This window comes from Homo sapiens, chromosome 16 (assembly GCF_000001405.40).
Source record: "Homo sapiens chromosome 16, GRCh38.p14 Primary Assembly".
In the NCBI taxonomy this organism is placed as follows: domain Eukaryota; kingdom Metazoa; phylum Chordata; class Mammalia; order Primates; family Hominidae; genus Homo; species Homo sapiens.
This window is the reverse complement of record NC_000016.10, coordinates 9568054-9589598: the sequence shown is the minus strand read 5'-3', so window position 1 is coordinate 9589598 and position 21545 is coordinate 9568054. Positions and strand designations below refer to the sequence as shown.

The window sequence follows — 21545 nt, the reverse complement described above, 5'->3', positions numbered from 1 at the left end:
AGAAAAACTGGAAACTCTAAAACGCAGAGCGCCTCTCCTCCTCCAAAGGAACGCAGTTCCTCACCAGCAACAGAACAAAGCTGGATGGAGAATGATTTTGACGAGCTGAGAGAAGAAGGCTTCAGACGATCAAATTACTCTGAGCTACGGGAGGACATTCAAACCAAAGGCAAAGAAGTTGAAAACTTTGAAAAAAATTTAGAAGAATGTATAACTAGAATAACCAATACAGAGAAGTGCTTAAAGGAGCTGATGGAGCTGAAAACCAAGGCTCGAGAACTACGTGAAGAATGCAGAAGCCTCAGGAGCCGATGCGATCAACTGGAAGAAAGGGTATCAGCAATGGAAGATGAAATGAATGAAATGAAGCGAGAAGGGAAGTTTAGAGAAAAAAGAATAAAAAGAAATGAGCAAAGCCTCCAAGAAATATGGGACTATGTGAAAAGACCAAATCTACGTCTGATTGGTGTACCTGAAAGTGATGTGGAGAATGGAACCAAGTTGGAAAACACTCTGCAGGATATTATCCAGGAGAACTTCCCCAATCTAGCAAGGCAGGCCAACGTTCAGATTCAGGAAATACAGAGAACGCCACAAAGATACTCCTCGAGAAGAGCAACTCCAAGACACATAATTGTCAGATTCACCAAAGTTGAAATGAAGGAAAAAATGTTAAGGGCAGCCAGAGAGAAAGGTCGGGTTACCCTCAAAGGAAAGCCCATCAGACTAACAGCGGATCTCTCGGCAGAAACCCTACAAGCCAGAAGAGAGTGGGGGCCAATATTCAACATTCTTAAAGACAAGAATTTTCAACCCAGAATTTCATATCCAGCCAAACTAAGCTTCGTAAGCGAAGGAGAAATAAAATACTTTACAGACAAGCAAATGCTGAGAGATTTTGTCACCACCAGGCCTGCCCTAAAAGAGCTCCTGAAGGAAGCGCTAAACATGGAAAGGAACAACCGGTACCAGCCGCTGCAAAATCATGCCAAAATGTAAAGACCATCGAGACTAGGAAGAAACTGCATCAACTAATGAGCAAAATCACCAGCTAACATCATAATGACAGGATCAAATTCACACATAACAATATTAACTTTAAATATAAATGGACTAAATTCTGCAATTAAAAGACACAGACTGGCAAGTTGGATAAAGAGTCAAGACCCATCGGTGTGCTGTATTCAGGTAACCCATCTCACGTGCAGAGACACACATAGGCTCAAAATAAAAGGATGGAGGAAGATCTACCAAGCCAATGGAAAACAAAAAAAGGCAGGGGTTGCAATCCTAGTCTCTGATAAAACAGACTTTAAACCAACAAAGATCAAAAGAGACAAAGAAGGCCATTACATAATGGTAAAGGGATCAATTCAACAAGAGGAGCTAACTATCCTAAATATTTATGCACCCAATACAGGAGCACCCAGATTCATAAAGCAAGTCCTGAGTGACCTACAAAGAGACTTAGACTCCCACACATTAATAATGGGAGACTTTAACACCCCACTGTCAACATTAGACAGATCAACGAGACAGAAAGTCAACAAGGATACCCAGGAATTGAACTCCGCTCTGCACCAAGCAGACCTAATAGACATCTACAGAACTCTCCACCCCAAATCAACAGAATATACATTTTTTTCAGCACCACACCACACCTATTCCAAAATTGACCACATAGTTGGAAGTAAAGCTCTCCTCAGCAAATGTAAAAGAACAGAAATGATAACAAACTATCTCTCAGACCACAGTGCAATCAAACTAGAACTCAGGATTAAGAATCTCACTCAAAGCCGCTCAACTACATGGAAACTGAACAACCTGCTCCTGAATGACTACTGGGTACATAACGAAATGAAGGCAGAAATAAAGATGTTCTTTGAAACCAACGAGAACAAAGACACCACATACCAGAATCTCTGGGACGCATTCAAAGCAGTGTGTAGAGGGAAATTTATAGCACTAAATGCCTACAAGAGAAAGCAGGAAAGATCCAAAATTGACACCCTAACATCACAATTAAAAGAACTAGAAAAGCAAGAGCAAACACATTCAAAAGCTAGCAGAAGGCAAGAAATAACTAAAATCAGAGCAGAACTGAAGGAAATAGAGACACAAAAAACCCTTCAAAAAATCAATGAATCCAGGAGCTGGTTTTTTGAAAGGATCAACAAAATTGATAGACCGCTAGCAAGACTAATAAAGAAAAAAAGAGAGAAGAATCAAATAGACACAATAAAAAATGATAAAGGGGATATCACCACCGATCCCACAGAAATACAAACTACCATCAGAGAATACTACAAACACCTCTACGCAAATAAACTAGAAAATCTAGAAGAAATGGATACATTCCTCGACACATACACTCTCCCAAGACTAAACCAGGAAGAAGTTGAATCTCTGAATAGACCAATAACAGGCTCTGAAGTTGTGGCAATAATCAATAGTTTACCAACCAAAAAGAGTCCAGGACCAGACGGATTCACAGCCGAATTCTACCAGAGGTACAAGGAGGAACTGGTACCATTCCTTCTGAAACTATTCCAATCAATAGAAAAAGAGGGAATCCTCCCTAACTCATTTTATGAGGCCAGCATCATCCTGATACCAAAGCCGGGCAGAGACACAACCAAAAAAGAGAATTTTAGACCAATATCCTTGATGAACATTGATGCAAAAATCCTCAATAAAATACTGGCAAACCGAATCCAGCAGCACATCAAAAAGCTTATCCACCATGATCAAGTGGGCTTCATCCCTGGGATGCAAGGCTGGTTCAATATACGCAAATCAATAAATGTAATCCAGCATATAAACAGAGCCAAAGACAAAAACCACATGATTATCTCAATAGATGCAGAAAAAGCCTTTGACAAAATTCAACAACCCTTCATGCTAAAAACTCTCAATAAATTAGGTATTGATGGGACGTATCTCAAAATAATAAGAGCTATCTATGACAAACCCACAGCCAATATCATACTGAATGGGCAAAAACTGCAAGCATTCCCTTTGAAAACTGGCACAAGACAGGGATGCCCTCTCTCACCGCTCCTATTCAACATAGTGTTGGAAGTTCTGGCCAGGGCAATCAGGCAGGAGAAGGAAATAAAGGGTATTCAATTAGGAAAAGAGGAAGTCAAATTGTCCCTGTTTGCAGACGACATGATTGTTTATCTAGAAAACTCCATCGTCTCAGCCCAAAATCTCCTTAAGCTGATAAGCAACTTCAGCAAAGTCTCAGGATACAAAATCAATGTACAAAAATCACAAGCATTCTTATACACCAACAACAGACAAACAGAGAGCCAAATCATGAGTGAACTCCCATTCACAATTGCTTCAAAGAGAATCAAATACCTAGGAATCCAACTTACAAGGGATGTGAAGGACCTCTTCAAGGAGAACTACAAACCACTGCTCAAGGAAATAAAAGAGGACACAAACAAATGGAAGAACATTCCATGCTCATGGGTAGGAAGAATCAATATCGTGAAAATGGCCATACTGCCCAAGGTAATTTACAGATTCAATGCCATCCCCATCAAGCTACCAATGACTTTCTTCACAGAATTGGAAAAAACTACTTTAAAGTTCATATGGAACCAAAAAAGAGCCCGCATCGCCAAGTCAATCTTAAGCCAAAAGAACAAAGCTGGAGGCATCACACTACCTGACTTCAAACTATACTACAAGGCTACAGTAACCAAAACAGCATGGTACTGGTACCAAAACAGAGATATAGATCAATGGAACAGAACAGAGCCCTCAGAAATAATGCCGCATATCTACAACTATCTGATCTTTGACAAACCTGAGAAAAACAAGCAATGGGGAAAGGATTCCCTATTTAACAAATGGTGCTGGGAAAACTGGCTAGCCATATGTAGAAAGCTGAAACTGGATCCCTTCCTTACACCTTATACAAAAATCAATTCAAGATGGATTAAAGATTTAAACGTTAGACCTAAAACCATAAAAACCCTAGAAGAAAACCTAGGCATTACCATTCAGGACATAGGCGTGGGCAAGGACTTCATGTCCAAAACACCAAAAGCAATGGCAACAAAAGCCAAAATTGACAAATGGGATCTAATTAAACTAAAGAGCTTCTGCACAGCAAAAGAAACTACCATCAGAGTGAACAGGCAACCTACAACATGGGAGAAAATTTTCGCAACCTACTCATCTGACAAAGGGCTAATATCCAGAATCTACAATGAACTCAAACAAATTTACAAGAAAAAATCAAACAACCCCATCAAAAAGTGGGCGAAGGACATGAACAGACACTTCTCAAAAGAAGACATTTATGCAGCCAAAAAACACATGAAAAAATGCTCATCATCACTGGCCATCAGAGAAATGCAAATCAAAACCACTATGAGATATCATCTCACACCAGTTAGAATGGCAATCATTAAAAAGTCAGGGAACAACAGGTGCTGGAGAGGATGTGGAGAAATAGGAACACTTTTACACTGTTGGTGGGACTGTAAACTAGTTCAACCATTGTGGAAGTCAGTGTGGCGATTCCTCAGGGATCTAGAACTAGAAATACCATTTGACCCAGCCATCCCATTACTGGGTATATACCCAAAGGACTATAAATCATGCTGCTATAAAGACACATGCACACGTATGTTTATTGCGGCACTATTCACAATAGCAAAGACTTGGAACCAACCCAAATGTCCAACAATGATAGACTGGATTAAGAAAATGTGGCACATATACACCATGGAATACTATGCAGCCATAAAAAATGATGAGTTCATGTCCTTTGTAGGGACATGGATGAAATTGGAAACCATCATTCTCAGTAAACTATCGCAAGAACAAAAAACCAAACACCGCATATTCTCACTCATAGGTGGGAATTGAACAATGAGATCACATGGACACAGGAAGGGGAATATCACACTCTGGGGACTGCGGTGGGGTCGGGGGAGGGGGGAGGGATAGCATTGGGAGATATACCTAATGCTAGATGACACGTTAGTGGGTGCAGCGCACCAGCATGGCACATGTATACATATGTAACTAACCTGCACAATGTGCACATGTACCCTAAAACTTAGAGTATAATAAAAAAAAAAAAACATTAAAAAAAAATGCAAAAAAGAAAATACATGCAGATGAGTTAAACACAAAAAAAAAAAAAAAAAAAAAAAAAAAAAAAAAAAAAAAGATTATGGATCTGAGGTTAGCCCTGTTAGGGCATACAGAGAGTAGATCACAGAAGGAAGGGGGCCTGTTGTGGTCTGGAGTAATCTAGGAAAATACTGGAAGATGTTGACTGCAAGCAGAAGGTGCGTCACTTTGGAACTTAACTACAAAATTGTGTCATGGGGGGGAAATGCAAGACTGTGAGACCTGGATTGTAGTCTTGGTTCTGTATCCACCTCTCTCTCTCTCTGTGACACGGGCAGGACGCAGCCCCTCTCTGAAAAGTTATTGCCTCCTTCGTTAAACTAGGAGGTTTGAAAAAAAGCTAATTGTTATAAAGAGGCAGTTCAACACAATAGTTAAGAACCTCAGTTCTGGGGTGGGATGTCTACTTCAAATCCGACCTAAAACTTATTAGCTCTGTGGCTTTTGGAAAAGTTTCTTGACTTCTTAAGCCTGTTTTCTTCCCTTTAAAAAACAGGATTAATAAAATGCCCATTTCTTGGGGGTGGTTTTAAGATTTAAGTGAGATGCTAAGTGTAAAGCACTGACATTCCTGACATTGCATGTGCTGTGTGTGTGTCTGAGTACTGGCTTTACATGAAGATGAATCTCACATCAGACTGCCTTGGCCACCACTTGGAGAAAAGTTCTGAGCACTTGCAGTAAGTGGTAGGAGAGAAGCATTTGCCACTCAAGCAAAAGGAAAAGGAGAAGATCTTTAAAAAATTAAAATTGGGAGAGTGACGTTCAAAAGGTCAGGGTGAGAGGTCCCTAATTGCAGCACTACCCACCCAGGTGGCATGGACAGGGTCTGTGGTGTGGACACTGCTGTGCTCCACTGGGTGGGAGAGATTGAAAGCAGCCAAATAATTCAGGACACCAAACCCAGTTTCTCAGAGGAAGAAATGATGCTTTGTAGGGCAACTGTCCAAAGAGGCGTTGTCCCCAAATGGCTAAGAAGAAGCATGCCCAGGAAAGGTGATCACAGAGTCTCAGAGCCCAAAGGATCCCATCCGATCTGAGGATGAGACGCTATCACTTCTCAGATTTTACTTCATGACTATGCTAAACTCTTCATAAATATACTATCTCACTGAATCCTCCGACTATCCCATGAGGCAGACACTGTTAAAATCCCCATTGTAGAGATGAAGAAATCAAGGCACAGAGAGATTTAAAAAAAAAAATTGATGCTACACGTCCAGAAAAAGACAGAACTGGTGACAAATCCACAGGGTCTGGGTCTGACCCCAGAGCCCCAGGTAATAGCAGCAACGTTACATCAAAGCAGCTTACGGGAAATCATGCAACGAAAGAAGAGAATGAATACATGAATACATGCAAATGAATGCATGGATTGATGAGAAAATGGAGGTGGAGGAAAAATAAAGACAAAAAATAATTGAAAGCCATTGGGTAAACTTAATTTGTCAGATTTATTGCCACTGACTATAGGATATAATGATTTGAGAAAGGCCATGAATTAAATTCAGCTCCTTAGAGGCCAGAGTGGACCAAAACAACAACAACAATAACAACAGCCAGATCTCAAGGCCATAAAATAAAACCCAACTATATGCCAAGGAGCCCTAGACCACTAGACCACTTTGCTTGTTTGTTGTTGTTGTTTGTTTACTTCCCAAAGACACAAAAGAAAACTTTGAGGGCCTTTATAAAAGAAGAAGATTTCTTTTTCTTTTTTTTTTTTTTTTTTGGTTTGTAGTTGAGAGGAATTATCACCTACTGTGATCCCAACTAATTTTATTTTAGACTTGATTATATAAACACATTGATAAGTAGAGAAAATAATTATCTAGGTAACATCACATCCTTTCTCTTTCCCCTTCCTACTCCCACAAAGCCCAGCGTCTGGGAATAATGGCAGAAAAATCTCATTACCTTATAATTTAATGGCTCTTTTAAACATTTACAGTCAATTTTGACATCTACTCTTTATAATAATAATAGTAGTTTATTTAGCACCTAATAAATGTCAAGCCCACGTGCATCACTTACATGACCTAATGTGATTTTAACAATAGCCCTGATGTGGTAAATATTATAACTTGCATCTTTGCAGATGAAACAGGTTCAGGGAATTAGCAATCTGGAAGTGGAGACAGGACCCAGACGCAGGTCAGCTGGACTTTGAAGCCACACCCTGTCCATCACAATGCATTTCTTTAAGCCTATAGTTCTCAACCTTGCCAGCCGACTATAACCCCTCTAAAGAGCTTGTTAAAAATAACCAACGTTTAGGCCCCTTTTCAGAGCAAATGAATCAGATTCAGTAGAGAAGGAGTGTGGCTGGTCACCTGGCACTTTTAAAACTCATCACTTGATCTTTCTTTTTTTTTTTTTTTTTTTTGAGACGGACTCTTGCTCTGCCAGGCAGTGGCATGATCTTGGCTCACTGCAACCTCCGCCTGCCATTCAAGTGATTCTCCTGACTACAGGTGCCCATCACCAGGCCTGGCTAATTTTCATATTTTTAGTAGAGACGGGGTTTCACCATGTTGACCAGGCTGGTCTCAAACTCCTGACCTCAACTGATCCACCCGCCTCGGCCTCCTATGATTTTTCTTTTTAATTGAGATAAAATTCACCCATCAAGCAATTTAAAAATGAATAGTTCATTGGCATTTACTATATTCAGAGTGTTGTGTAACCACCACCTCTGCCTAGACATTCCAAAACCCCTTAATCACCTCCAAAAAGACCCTATACCCATTAAGCAGTCACCTCCCCTTCCTTTCTCCCCTGAAACCACTAATCTACTTTCTGTCTCTATGAATTTATTTATTCTGTACATTTCTTATAAATGGAATCCTTCCACAGGTGGCTTTTTCTGCCTGTTTTCTTTCACTTAGCATTATGTTTTTGAGGTTTATCCACATTGTACGTGAATCAGTACTTTATTCTTTTTTTATTGCTGGACAGTGCAATATGTCTTGAGAATTGCCATTGAACGCTAATCCTCACAACTGCCATGTGAAGTTGCGGGGCATTGCAGATTTGTATTTGCGTTTTGACAGTGAGAGACTCAGAGCAAGGGATGTGCTCCAAATCTCACAAAATCTGGTCTCCTCTTTCTCTAGGCCCATGGTATTGCCACCACGTGATCCTTCCTCAGCCAAACTCAACAAATACACTTTTCCTACAATTTGGGGGGTTTTCTTGCCTCTATTTTTGTTTCTTCCTCTATTTTGTTTCTTCCCTCTATTTTATGTTAGTAACACTCACATAAAGCTCAGACAGACTCTCCAGGGTCTTAGCAATGCATGTGTTGGGACTGAGATGGGCTAGACTTTTTTTTTCTTTTTCTGGAGATGGCGTCTTGCTCTGCTGCCCAGACTGGCCTCGAACTCCTAGCCTCAGAGATCCTCCCACATCACCTTCCTGAGTAGCTGGGACTACAAGCTGCACTGACCTATTTTTTTTTTTTTTTTTTTTTTTGAGACAGAGTCTCGCCCTGTTGCCCAGGCTGGAGTACAGTGGCGCAATGTTGGTTCACTGCAACCTCTGCATCCCAGGTTCAAGCGATTTTCCTGCCTCAGCTTCCCAGGTAGCTAGGACTACAGGCATGTGCCACCATGCCCAGCTAGTTTTTGTATTTTCAGTAGACACAGGGTTTCACCATGTTGGCCAAGCTGGTCTCAAACTCCTGACCTCAAATGATCCACCCACCTTGGCCTCCCAAAGTGCTGGGATTATAGGCGTGAGCCACTGTGCCCGGCCTGCAACACTGACTTTTTGACCCTTTTTATTTTTGTCTTAGCAGCTACTCTTTACCCACTTATGAAGACTGAGAAGCTCTCGAGCATGAATAACTCTCTTCCTTCAAGAAGCTCAATCCCCATCATTTCTTCATTCATTCATTCATTCATTTTACAACACTAATGAAGTGACTCCTTTTGTGTTCTAGAAACTACATGACAATCTAGGGATATAGATGTGAACAACATAAATGTGTACATTGTTTGGGGGAGTCAGCTGTCTAGCAGGGAAAGTCAGAAATCAAGCAAGAGGTATAAGCAATAGTTAACAGTTTACAAGAGAGAGGAATGCCACAAAAGAGATGCAAGGATCACTGAGAATTTAATAAAGGAGGGGGCTTGACCCTGCCAAGGGCTTGGGGCACTACCTCTCCACTGTCAATGTGTGCACGCGTCTCCAGGGACTTGTTAACATGCAAATTCTGACTCAAAGGTCTGGGCTGGGCTGAGATGCTGCAATTATAACAAGCTTGGAGGTGATGCTGATGCTGTTGGTCTGTGAACCATGCCTTCAAGCACTGAGGTGTGAGCTGGGTCCTGAGGGACAAATAATAGTTAACCAGGGATGTTCTCTCCTCCTGAACAGGTTTGCTCATCATTGCTTTGGGCAAAAAGAGCCATTCTCTGACCTTTCAGCCCTAGACCCTAGCCGGGCAGATGATGGAGAAATGGTTAGATGGAGAAATGGTTAGAGGATGGGCAGGCAGGAGACAAATAGGCTCTCCACCACCTTTGTACAAATATTTCAGAAAGTCATTGTGTTAGGACGCTCTGGAGTTATGAAACACATGCAGCCTTTAGAGAACTTCTGGTTCCATTCTTGCATCTTAAAACTAGGACCTGGAAGTCTGCACAACCCTTGATATTTATTAACATTTACTGCTCACCTGTTGTGTGGGAAGTCCTATGCCATGCATGTCGTTCACATTAACTTGTGCAATTCTCAAAACAACCCATAATAATTGACATTAACATCTGCAGATTGTAAAGGAGAAAATGTAAGCAAACACTTGTCCCGTGCCACACAGCTGGTAAGTGACATAGCTGGGATTTGAACCCCCACCTCCAAACGGCCTAACTCCAAAGCTGCACTCTTTGCATGGCATCTGCTGACCTAATTATTTATTCATTCATCTGCTTAATTTTCAGCCTTAACTTTTGCTGAAATAGAGACAGGCAAATGAGGGGCTGCTTTGAGCTCATTAATTATGAAATGCTACTCCTACCTAGACCTCCAGCTACAAAAACTTTCCATACTCTTTACCTTATTGACAACTTCATCTGGAATTTTTCAGTTGCAAATTTGAAAAAAAAAAAAAAACACAAAAACTCAAATGATCATAAGCAATGTCACAATGTCTCTTCTCCCTGTCCCTCTCTCATCTTTCCTTGTTTCCACCTGTCTGTTTCCCTCTTGCTATCTTGCCTATGTTTAGGAAAGTCATATCAAGGAACTCAACTTTAACTTCATAGGAGACAGAGACTCATTTTGTAATTCCTCCCCTATCCCAATCCTGGCAACCTCATGGGAAATTGAGTAAACCAGCTCATTTATTAGGAGGGTCATGACAGCAAATCAGACCATTGGATCTGATTCAAAAAAATATAACAGATTCCAAGCCTAAAAGTGACCCTCCATCAGAAAGGGTGCCCTATCAAGTCAATAACCTTTGGGCCAGCCTTGGACAAAGGGAGCTAGTAATTTAACTAGAAGCTCTTTGGACTGTGAAAAGTGATCATTTTTCATCACAGCTTCAAGGACACCATTTTTCTTGCAGCTTTCCAATCGCCTTCATAGTCAATGGTCCAAAATAATCAAGATCATACTGCATGATGTTGTGGGCAGGGCATTGAGTGTATAAGGATACAGAACTCTTCCTGCAGAAACCAGCACCTCAGGCATGTCAGGGAGCCACCCTGAACCTCACCTTCCCAGTCTGTAAAGTAGGATGAATCATCATTTCTGCCTTGACTCATTGCTGTGGGAGCTGTTGAGTACTGCACGTGTGAGGTGTCCTGAGATACGCCTGACACGTAGTGGGCACTCAGCAAAGACTAGCGGTTACAGAGGTGACTTCCATATTAGCTGGATAAAATGTACATTCTTTTTTAACACTCCTCCGGCATTCACCATGTGCCACGCAGTGTTCTCAGTTCCTTCACATATATTAATTCATTTACATACTCACGACAACCCTTTAATATGGGCATAGTATTATCTTCATTTCACAAATGAGGAAACTGAGGCTCAGAGAAGTTGTCCAAGGTCATAGAACTAGCAGTTGTAGAACGATGATAGATGGAACCCAGACAATCAGACCCCAGGGTATACACTCTTCAATACAACACCATACTGACTCTCCCACTTAAAATCGTAGGTTCTCTAAGAATAGAAAAGTAGTACGAAGGCTGAATATTCTCTTGCTGCTCAAGATCAGCCAAATGCCTCACATGCTCTATCTCATTAGTCCTTGTTATAACCCAATAAGCTATACCCTATCATTATCACCATTTTACAGATGAGAAAACAGAGGCATGCAGAGAATAAATAGCCTGACCCAGGTTTACAGCTAGTAAGTGGATTCAGATCCATGCCTATCTGAGTTCGAGCCCATGCTAGCAACCACGCTGCTATTTTGGATCCCAGAAAGGCTCTCCTCCGTTAGTGCTCCCTTCAAAGCAGTAGAGGATTAGCTGGGATGACCACCCAAGAGGCTCAGCTCAGAGTCAGGGTGGGCAGTTGCCCTCTGCTCAAAGTCAGAGCAGACTCAGAGGATGATAGTGATAGAGATCATCACACGTAGAGCCCACTTCACAGATAAGGAAACTGACCAGAAAGGAGAAGGCACCTGTTCAGTGAAGTCAGTGCTGAGTCTTCCTTTGGGGCTACCTCTCTTTGGAAAATCCTCTAGTATTCTCTAACAATTATTCTTAAAAAGGTCTAAAATATGGGAAAAGCTTTAAGTCAAACTATTATAACTAGCATTCTTAATAATGGTAAAAAATGTATATGAACAACTTCAATGTCCAGCAATAAGGATTGTTTCAATAAATTATGGTGCATCCAGACAATAGCACATTGTGTAGCCACTCTCACTCAGCACTTTGGGAGGCCAACGCAGGTGGATCGCTTGAGGTCAGGAGTTAGAGACCAGCGTGGCCAACATGGTAAAACCCTCGCTCTACTAAAAATACAAAAATTAGCCAGGTGTGGTGGTGCATGCCTGGAATCCCAGCTACTCAGGAGGCTGAGGCAGGTGAATCGCTTGAACCTGGGAGGTGGAGGTTGCAATGAGCCAAGATCGCACCACTGCACTCCAGCCTGGGTGACAGAGCAAGACTCCATCTGAAAAAAAGTAATAGTAAGAAGAACTACTGGAATACTATGCAGCCATAAAAAAGAATGAGTTAATGTCCTTTGCAGGGACATGGATGAAGCTGGAAGCCGTCACTCTCAGCAAACTAACATAGGAACAGAAAACCAAACACCGCATGTTCTCACTCATAAGTGGGAGTTGAACAATGAGAACACACAGATGCAGAGAGGGGAACATCACACACTGGGGCCTGTCCGGAGGTGGGCGGCAAGGGGGCCTGTCAGGAGGTGGGGGGCAAGGGGAGGGAGAGCATTAGGACAAAAGCTAATGCATGCGGGCCTTAAAACCTACATGATGGGTTGATAGGTGCAGCAAACCACCATGGCACACGTATACGTATGTAACAAACCTGCACGTTCTGCACATGTATCCCAGAACATAAAGTAAACTATAAATAAATAAATAACTCAAATAAGTAGTAGTAATAGTAATTTCCTTGGGGCTGGACTTCGGGACGAATTGTTTATTCTGCACCCTAATAACTCTCTAGGTTGTCTGGTATCCAATCACTCATTGGACAGAGTCTTGAGCCTGTCAACTGGACCCCAACTCTACTACCAATCTCTTGGTCCAAACGACCATCCCCTTTCACCCGAACAACAGCAACATTCTCCCAACTGGTCTTCCAGCCCTGAGGTCCGCTCCCTGCCTCTACTTTGCATCTTATGTAGCAGCCAGAGTGATCTTTATAACGTGAATATGACTGTGTTATGCCCTTGCATTACCCCTCCGATGGCTCACCACTGCCCTCAGCATAAAGTCTCCACTCCACAGCATGGCACACAACTGCCCTCTCCAGCCTGATCTCATTTTTCCGCATTTTCTACCTCTCATTCTACATTGCAGCCAGGCAGAAACTTCTGGAGTCCTTCTGCCTCTCCAAGCCCCTTCTTGCCCCAGGACTCAGCCTCGTGGTGTTCTCTCCGCCCAGCACACACTCTGCTTCCTTCCCGTGGCTGGCTTCTGCTGTTTCTCTCATCTCAGCTGAGCTATCAGTCCCTCTTGATGTAAGTCAGTAGCTCTTCTCAGGGTTCCCACTTCCCAATTTGCTGTAATATTTATATTCTGTTATAGTCACCTGTGCTCATGCCCAGCTCTTCCACTAGAAACTAACCTCCACAGGAACAGTGTAGCGTCTCTGTCTTTCAAATATTTCATTCCCAAACACGTGTGCACTTAGTAGGCACTCGGAAAATATCGGAAAATATTTGCTGAATTGATGTACCAGACAACTCAATTAGGAGGCTGGTTTGGGTGGAGGATCTAAATTATCCAATTATTTGAAAAGGAAATAAACCTTTTAGGGGAAGCTTAAATGATCCATATCTGTTATGTAAAAGGAATATTTTCCCTGAAATATAGTTTCATTTTCCTCTGTGCTATAAGGATTTAGCCCCCCTATACCCTGAAATGCATGGAAACCACTAGGTGGTCAAAGAAATGCATTAAAAATTCAGATGTTCAGGCACTACCCACAGGGATTCTAATTCAGCAAGTATGGGGTGAGGCCCAGGAATCTGTATTTATGATAATCTCCATGGGGGACCTTGACATGTACACCCAAGTTAGAATACAACTGAAATATATTTGAAGCCCAGCCTATTGCTTGGCACAAAGCAGGGACTCTAAAAATGTTTGTTCTACTCACTCATTTCCCTGACAGATGACAGCAGGCCTGGTGCCTCCTAATTCCTTTATTCTAACATCATATATTTTCTACCTGTTAAGCGACGCATATGAAGTAGACCCCAGAGCTGAAACTCCATCCGTCCTTGAGCCCACTCTGGAATAGAAATGCATCTCAAGCCCATCAGACTGTAGGAGCTACAATCCTTCCTGCCTATTAACGATATTATAGAGGCAGCTGGCCCACTACGTTAGTATGACAGGTCTATTTCCATATGGAAAAGAAAATTATAGAGAGGCATAAACATTTGCTAACTTGAGAGATGTTATTATAGCCCGCAAATTGCATTCAGATGTTTAGTAATACTAGAGTTAATGGATTTCTGAGAGTTCTTCGCAAGTGAGCCCATCTAAGAAAAACCTTTCTTTTCTGTTTTTATAAAAAAAGGTGTTACCCAGCAGCCCCAATCCAGCAGCGTGGTTACTGGCTGCAGTGGGGAATCCTGAGTCTGCAGGCATCCAGGGGCTGAAAGAGGGCAATATTCCCTCTGATTCCATTAAATGTAGGACTGGCAGGGAAGCCCCTTACTGCCACACTCTGCAGCTTTGAAGGAATATTAAAGAGAAGAAGGCATTTACTGTTGACTGAGCATTTACTATGTGCCAGACCCCCCACCAAGCACATTGCACTCGCATCTCACTTTACCCTCCCTGCACCTCATGCGGTGGTATTATTACCTCCTTTTTAAAGATAAGGAAACTGAGGCACAAAAAATTCAGGGACGTTGCTTGAAATCTAATGGCTCAGAACTCCAAGAGGTGAAATTTAAACTCATGCCATCCAACCTCAGAACCCAGACTCTCAGCCACCAAAGTCGACATGTGAGGCTTAAGCAGTCCTGCTATCATGATACCCATTTTATAGATGTGTCATTTGCATCAAAAAGTCTCTTGCCTAAGACACAGAACCAGAGTTCAAACCAGTTTAGTAAGTGCTTGCCCAGCCAGTCAGTCAATGAATTTTGCTGAAATTCTGCTCCATGGCAGGCTCTGAGCTAGGCAATGAGAAACACGACAGATACCATCCCAGTCCTTGGAGATTTTAACCTTTTGTGCTGGGACTCCCTCTAGCATGCAAACCCCTTGGATAAAAATGTCAACGGCATTGCTGGCCGGGCGCGGTGGCTCACGTCTGTAATCCCAGCACTTTGGGAGGCTGAGGCAGGCGGATCACGAGGGCAGGAGATCGAGACCATCCTGGCTAACATGGAGAAACCCCGTCTCTACTAAAAATACAAAAAATTGGCCGGGCGTGGTGGTGGGTGCCTGTAGTCCCAGCTACTCGAGACGCTGAAGGCAGGAGAATGGCGTGAACCCAGGAGGCGGAGCTTGCAGTGAGCAGAGATCGAGCCACTGCACTCCAGCCTGGGCGACAGAGCGAGACTCCGTCTCAAAAAAAAAAAAAAAAAAAAAAAAAAAAAAAGTCAAGGGCATTGCTATTTATGGCTATTGTGCCTTGTGTCCCCTCATTTGGCCTCATGACCCCCATCCTTTGGCCACCCAGAATACCTTGCCCTGGCCCATATCCAGAATCTGATCCAAATAGTCCTCTGCAATCCACCTTTAGACAGTGCTTCCAATACATGAATCCATAAAATCAAGTGATGGTCAGTATATTGCTCAGCTTGGGCTGCCATAACAAAACATCTGACTGAGTGGCTTCAACAACAGAAATTTATTTTGTCACAATTCTGGAGGCTGGAGGTTCAAGATCAAAGTACCAGCAAATTCAGCTCCTGGTGAAGGCTCTCTTCCCAGCTTGCAGTCATCTCAATGTGGTTCAAGATCAAACTACCAGCAAATTCAGCTCCTGGTGAAGGCTCTCTTCCCAGCTTGCAGTCATCTCAACGTGTCCTCACAAGGCTGGGAGACAGAACTCAGTGTCTCTTCCTTTCATTATAAGGACACCAGTCCTGTGGATTAGGACCCCACCATTATAACCTCCTTTAACCTTAGTTATCTCCTTAAAGGCCCTATCTCCAAATACAGTCCATAAGGGATTACGTTCAACATGAATTTGGAGGGAACAGAATTCAGTCCGTAACAGTCAACTGTATTTCCCACCCTTATAATCTCCTTTAACCTTAATTATCTCCCTAAAGGCCCTATCTCCAAATACAGTTCATAGGGGATTATGTTCCACATGAATTTTGGGTGACAGAATTCAGTCTATAACAGTCAGCTACACTTCCCACATTGTGAAAACCAGTAAACTTCAGAAGCAGAAGATTCTGAGTCATTCCATCCACACTTTGCATTTGCAGATGGGAAAACTGAGGGCCAGACTAGGAGAATGCATTATCCAGGGCTAAAAATCCAGGCAGGGCCAGAGGTAAGCCAAGAACCAGAGCCAAACCTTGGTCACATATCTAATAGGCCATGTAACTTCACCCAAATGACTTAGCCATTCCAAGCTACAGTTTTCTCACCTGTGAGATGGAGGAATCACAGAAGTACCTGCCAGAAATGTTAAGAGGAAGGATTAAATGAGATCGTGCATGGAGCATCCTGGGATACCCACATGGACATTGCTCCTCTCCCCTTTGGGATAAGGGCTTAGTCTGTTCATATCTTCATTTTTGGCTGCATCCTGATAGCTAAAGCAGAAACTGACAGCCCCATTTCTCGGCTGTTTCTTTTTATTTGTGGTCATTAAGCCCATGCCCTCTGCCTCCTTCTCATGTAAAGCTCTTTTAATTTGCAGTGTCTCTTACCCCCGCCTTTGGAATGATGACTTTCATTTTAATTGGTTGGTGAACCGAGTCTCTATCCTCTTTACTGATGAGAAAGAACAGGAGGAAGAGTCCCAGGCTCAGATCTGAAAACCTACATTCTGCAACTTTGCTGTGCAGCCTTGCTTGTCTTCTCTGAGCTCTAATCTACAGCTATAACATGAGAAATTTTGAATCATGATGAGTCCTTTCAGTCCTGGCACTCTCAATACAGCATCTTTTCAAATAGAAGGGTTGCAGAATAGTAAAGCTCCACGTGACGATATGTTCTTGCTAACAACGTAGAGTGGATTCTGCTGGCCAGGACTCCTGCATGTGATTGTGAATTCCTTTGGGGCTGTGCTCTCATGAGGTCTACCTTAGTTTCCCCATGCCTGGTACACATCACTTTCATTATTTTTATTTTTATTTTTTACTTTATTTTTGGAGACAAAGTCTTACTCTGTCGCCGAGGCTGGAGTGCAGTGGCGCGATCTTGGCTCACTGCCACCTCCGCCTCCAGGGTTCAAGCGATTCTCCTGCCTCAGCCTCCAGAGTAGCTGGGATTACAGGCATCCACCACCACACCCAGCTAATTTTTGCATTTTTAGTAGAGAAAGGGTTTTGCCATGTTGGCCAGGCTGGTCTCGAACTCCTGACCTCAGGTGATTCACCCACCTTGGCCTCCCAGAGTGCTGAGATTACAGGCATGAGCCACCATGCCCAGCCTCTTTTATTATTTTTTAAATTGACTTCTGTACTTACATATTTACTTCTATAGTGGGTTAAATAGTGCAACCCCCCTAAAAAAAAAAAAGACACACCCTGTCCGAACTTCAGAATATGAGGTTATTTGGAATGAGGACCTTTGCAGGTATAATTAAGTTAAGGCTCTTGATATGAGATTTCCCTGGATTAGGGTGGGCCCCAAATCCAATGATGGGTGTCTTTATAAGAGATAAAAATGATGAGGACACACAGAGTAGAAGGCTATATGAAGACAGAGGCAGAGACTAGAGTGATGCAGAGACTGTAGCGATGCAGCTACAAGCTGAGGAATGCCAAGGATTGCTGACAGCCACCAGAAGCCAGGAATGAGACATGAATTCTCTCTCAGAACCTCCAGAAATAACCAACCCTTCCAACACCTTGATTTTAGACTTCTGTCCTCCAGAATTGTGAAGGAATAAATTTCTGTTATTTTAAGCTACCTAGTTAGTGGTAACTTGTTATAGAACTCCTTGGAAACTAATACGCTTACCTTGTTCCAAAGTCTTTATAGGGGTCATATAATACAAGATAAAATACATTTAAGAAAAACGCCATATAGAATAGTGTAGAACAGGTAAGCACCACTTTCATAGACAAAATGGAAACTATGCTAGAAATAGATGGCACAGTTGGGTTCTGAGCTTCCTAGTGGCAGATGCAAAAAGAGAACCCAATGTCTTACATGGTCCACTGTGTCTATAAGAAACAAACATGTTACACGGCATGAACACCGAGATCCTTAGTTGGGGGGAAGTTGTTCCTCAAAGAAGGAAAGGGTCAGTAGTGATCTCTCAAATATATTCTTAAAGTTTTTAGTAAATATTTGTTGGAACAAGTGAGACTTTTTCTCACAGAGGCAACTGTTCCAGAAAGCAGACAAAACCCTCAGGTATCAAAAAATATAATAGAAGTGAAGAGAAACTGACTAGTGTACCCAGATGATATATTTTAAAAATGCATACTATTAAAATATTAAACAAGCCTCCTGGCTTGTCTGCTGCTTCCTGGGCAAAAACGCTGAGTGGTTATTACGCACACACTCTTCCCCAGGGGGAGCACCAGGAAAGCTCAGTGTGTAAGTCCTCCTCTCAGCAGCACCCAGCAGGGAGCCTGGGTCTTGGGCTCAGCTGAGAGTCTGCCCTTCCTCAGGCCACTTGCTCCCTCTTGACAGAGGGCCCAGGCACCACAATTCATTCCTTTATTTATTTATTAATTCAATCATCCATTTGCTCATCAGATGCAAACCCTGATCTAGGTGCTAGGAATTCAGCAAAGAGAAGACCAGATTAGATAAGCATATAGACAGTGCCCAGCACAGTGGCTGGAAAACGTCAGAGGCTCAAAGAATTTCACCCTTTCTCTTTCTCCCTCCTTCCCGAAACAAACTTGCCATGAGGTTATGGTTGGGAAGCACTGTAAGAGGCATATCACTTTGTTCAATACCCTCAACGCACAAATAGCAGGTCACATTTTTGAAGACTGGGTCATCAAATGTCAGCTCTTTGCATGTGCTCAGTAAGTATTTAAGTGAATAAATGAACAAATAAACCTAAGAAATGATTACTTGTTTTTAAAATGGATTTCTTCTATTTAAAAAAATTTTTAATTTAAAAAATTAACATCTGCATATAGTAAAAATCCAAACAGTACAAAGTATATTTAACTAAAATTATTAATCCCATCCCTGATACCGTCCCCAACTTCTCTTTAGAAGTATCTATTATTATAAAGTATGTGTGTGTGCATATGCCCAGCCTTCCACAGATATTCCAAGCATTTCCACATCCCTGTTCTTATCATTAGAAATATTCTTTAAGCCCCATGCTTTTTTTTCCACTGAAAACATATATCATGGCTATGACTCCTTATCAGGGCATATTAAGCTATTTTCTCCTTCCCAAATGCCAAAATGGGTACCATTGAGCGAATGGATTAATTAATTAGCCAATTCCCTATTCTTGGATTCTTGGACACTTAGATTGTCTCCAGTCCACCCTATTATAAACAATGAACATCTTCATTGTGCATAGGAATGAGAACATTTGTAGGAAAACATCTCAATACTGGAACACTTGGGTCAAAGACTATATGCTTTTTCTGTTTGTTTTAATCATTATTACCAAATAGCTCTCCAAAATATTTACACATTTCACCCTCCTTCCAGCAGTATATAAAAACACCGATTTTCTCACACCCTGGCCAAACCTCCAATTACTGACATTTTCAATTTTTACCATTCTGCCTCCATAGTGGTTGGACAGTTATTCATTTTGCCCCTTATATAAGTCCTTCTCAACAGGAGAGATTCTCTAAGCTCTATTAATGAAATTAAACACCCTTCATTAAACGCCAGGTTCAAGATAAATTTTAATTCTGTTCCACTTCAGCTGTTAATTTTTTTCACCAATCTAGGCTGCCCTTTCTAGACCGGAGTTTCACGTGTCCCACTCAGAGCGGAGACCTGGGCGTTATTTGCACCGCATATGGCACTGAGGAAACAAGGCCAAGGGCTTGGCATCACCATTAATTAAGCTGTTTCAACACAGAGCTCTGTTTGCTTATCCAGATGTGAACCATACTTCACACTCTCATATTTTCCACCATGATCCTTTATGGAAGGAAAGACTCACACGTCCTGGTGAGGGCTGAAGATGGAAAGTGCTGGAAAAATCATTTTATCCTTATAGAATCAATATCTGGAGCCACCTTGTGTATAGTTGAACATTCCCAAGATACATGAGATTTTGAGAAAGTCAGCGGGTCCATGCCCCTATTTCTCAAGTTGGGCAATTTCAATTGAAACTAGTTCAACAAAAATTCAACTCAATTCAACAGAAATGTGTGAAGTCCTAATATTATATGTTAAGCTCTCTGATGCATCCTGTGAATATGGTGGTAAGCTAAAATAGACACGTGAAATCTCAAAGGGTTCGAAACCTGGGGTCTGCATATCTTGTAGTTGGATTCAAGAGATTCCATTAATCCCTAAAATTACACACACAACTGTGCATGTATGTGTGCATGTTTGTGTGTGATTGTACATATTTTCTGGAGAGAAGGCCCATAGTGTTTATCCTATTGTAAAAGATTCCACCCCTTCCGCCCCCATCACCACAACCAAAAACAAAGAAAAAAATTTTTTAAAAAAGCTTAAGAATTAACGAGTCCAGGAGTAATGGTGTATCTTCCATCACTTTGAGGACTTCAGGAGCATTTTCAGGATTTTTATTATCTCAAAATCCGCAAGCCTCTTGGTTTTCTCCAGCTACAGCACCTCCTGCCTACTGCTTTACCCCTGGAAACAAACTTGTCCAGCCCTTAGAGAAAGTAATCAGTTTTGTCTTTCTTATGCTAAGCAACGCAGTGAATGGTGGGTACAGGAGATGCCCAAGTTTGGTTGCAAAGGAATTAAACCCTTCAAAGTTCAAAAGACAGACTTCCAAAGTCTCATGTCACTTCTAGACTTGCTTTTCATTTACTCAGTCATCATTTGTCTTTCTAATGACCCACATTCACTCTCATTTACACACACATCATTCACTCACTGTCTCATTCACTCACCATTCAGGTAACACACACTCACTTATCCACACTCACACTCATTCTCTCTGTCATGCACTCATGCAATCATGTATTCACCCTTCAAACCCTTACTGAGTACATATCACATGTCTGACACCAGGAGACTGTAGATAGAAATGGCCCATGTTCCTCCCCTAAAGGAGAACCTTAGTCTAAAGGGGAATCTGATGCTAACACTAAGAACTACAATACATTGTCTTACCTACGACAGAAACATGATGTAGGAAGGGTCCGTGCAAATTGCTGAGTAGGCCCTGAGGAGGGGACGGCTGCATTATCCTTGCAAGGCATGGGGAATGCTTCACAAGCACGTGATATTTGAGCTGGGTCTTAAAGGATGACCAGGAGTTTTCCAGGCATAAAAGAAGGAAAAGCAGCCTAAGTGGATAACATAGCATGTGCAAAAGCCCAGGGGTGGGGAAATATCAGAGCATGGCATACCTTGAAGATGGCAGCTTTTTCTT

At 42.1% G+C, this 21545-nt stretch overlaps 1 long non-coding RNA gene across 1 annotated transcript in view; it reads right to left on the bottom strand.

Annotated features, from left to right (window-relative positions):
- Positions 1 to 15673: 15673 nt before the first annotated feature.
- The window catches only part of LOC132205950 (uncharacterized), a 31950-nt gene continuing 26078 nt past the window's right edge, over positions 15674 to 21545 (bottom strand). The window contains exons 5-6 of the long non-coding RNA NR_188388.1: positions 16447 to 16474; positions 15674 to 15930 (exon numbers count right to left, since the gene is read on the bottom strand). This is a non-coding gene — a long non-coding RNA (uncharacterized LOC132205950). The remainder of the gene's footprint in view (positions 15931 to 16446; positions 16475 to 21545) is intronic.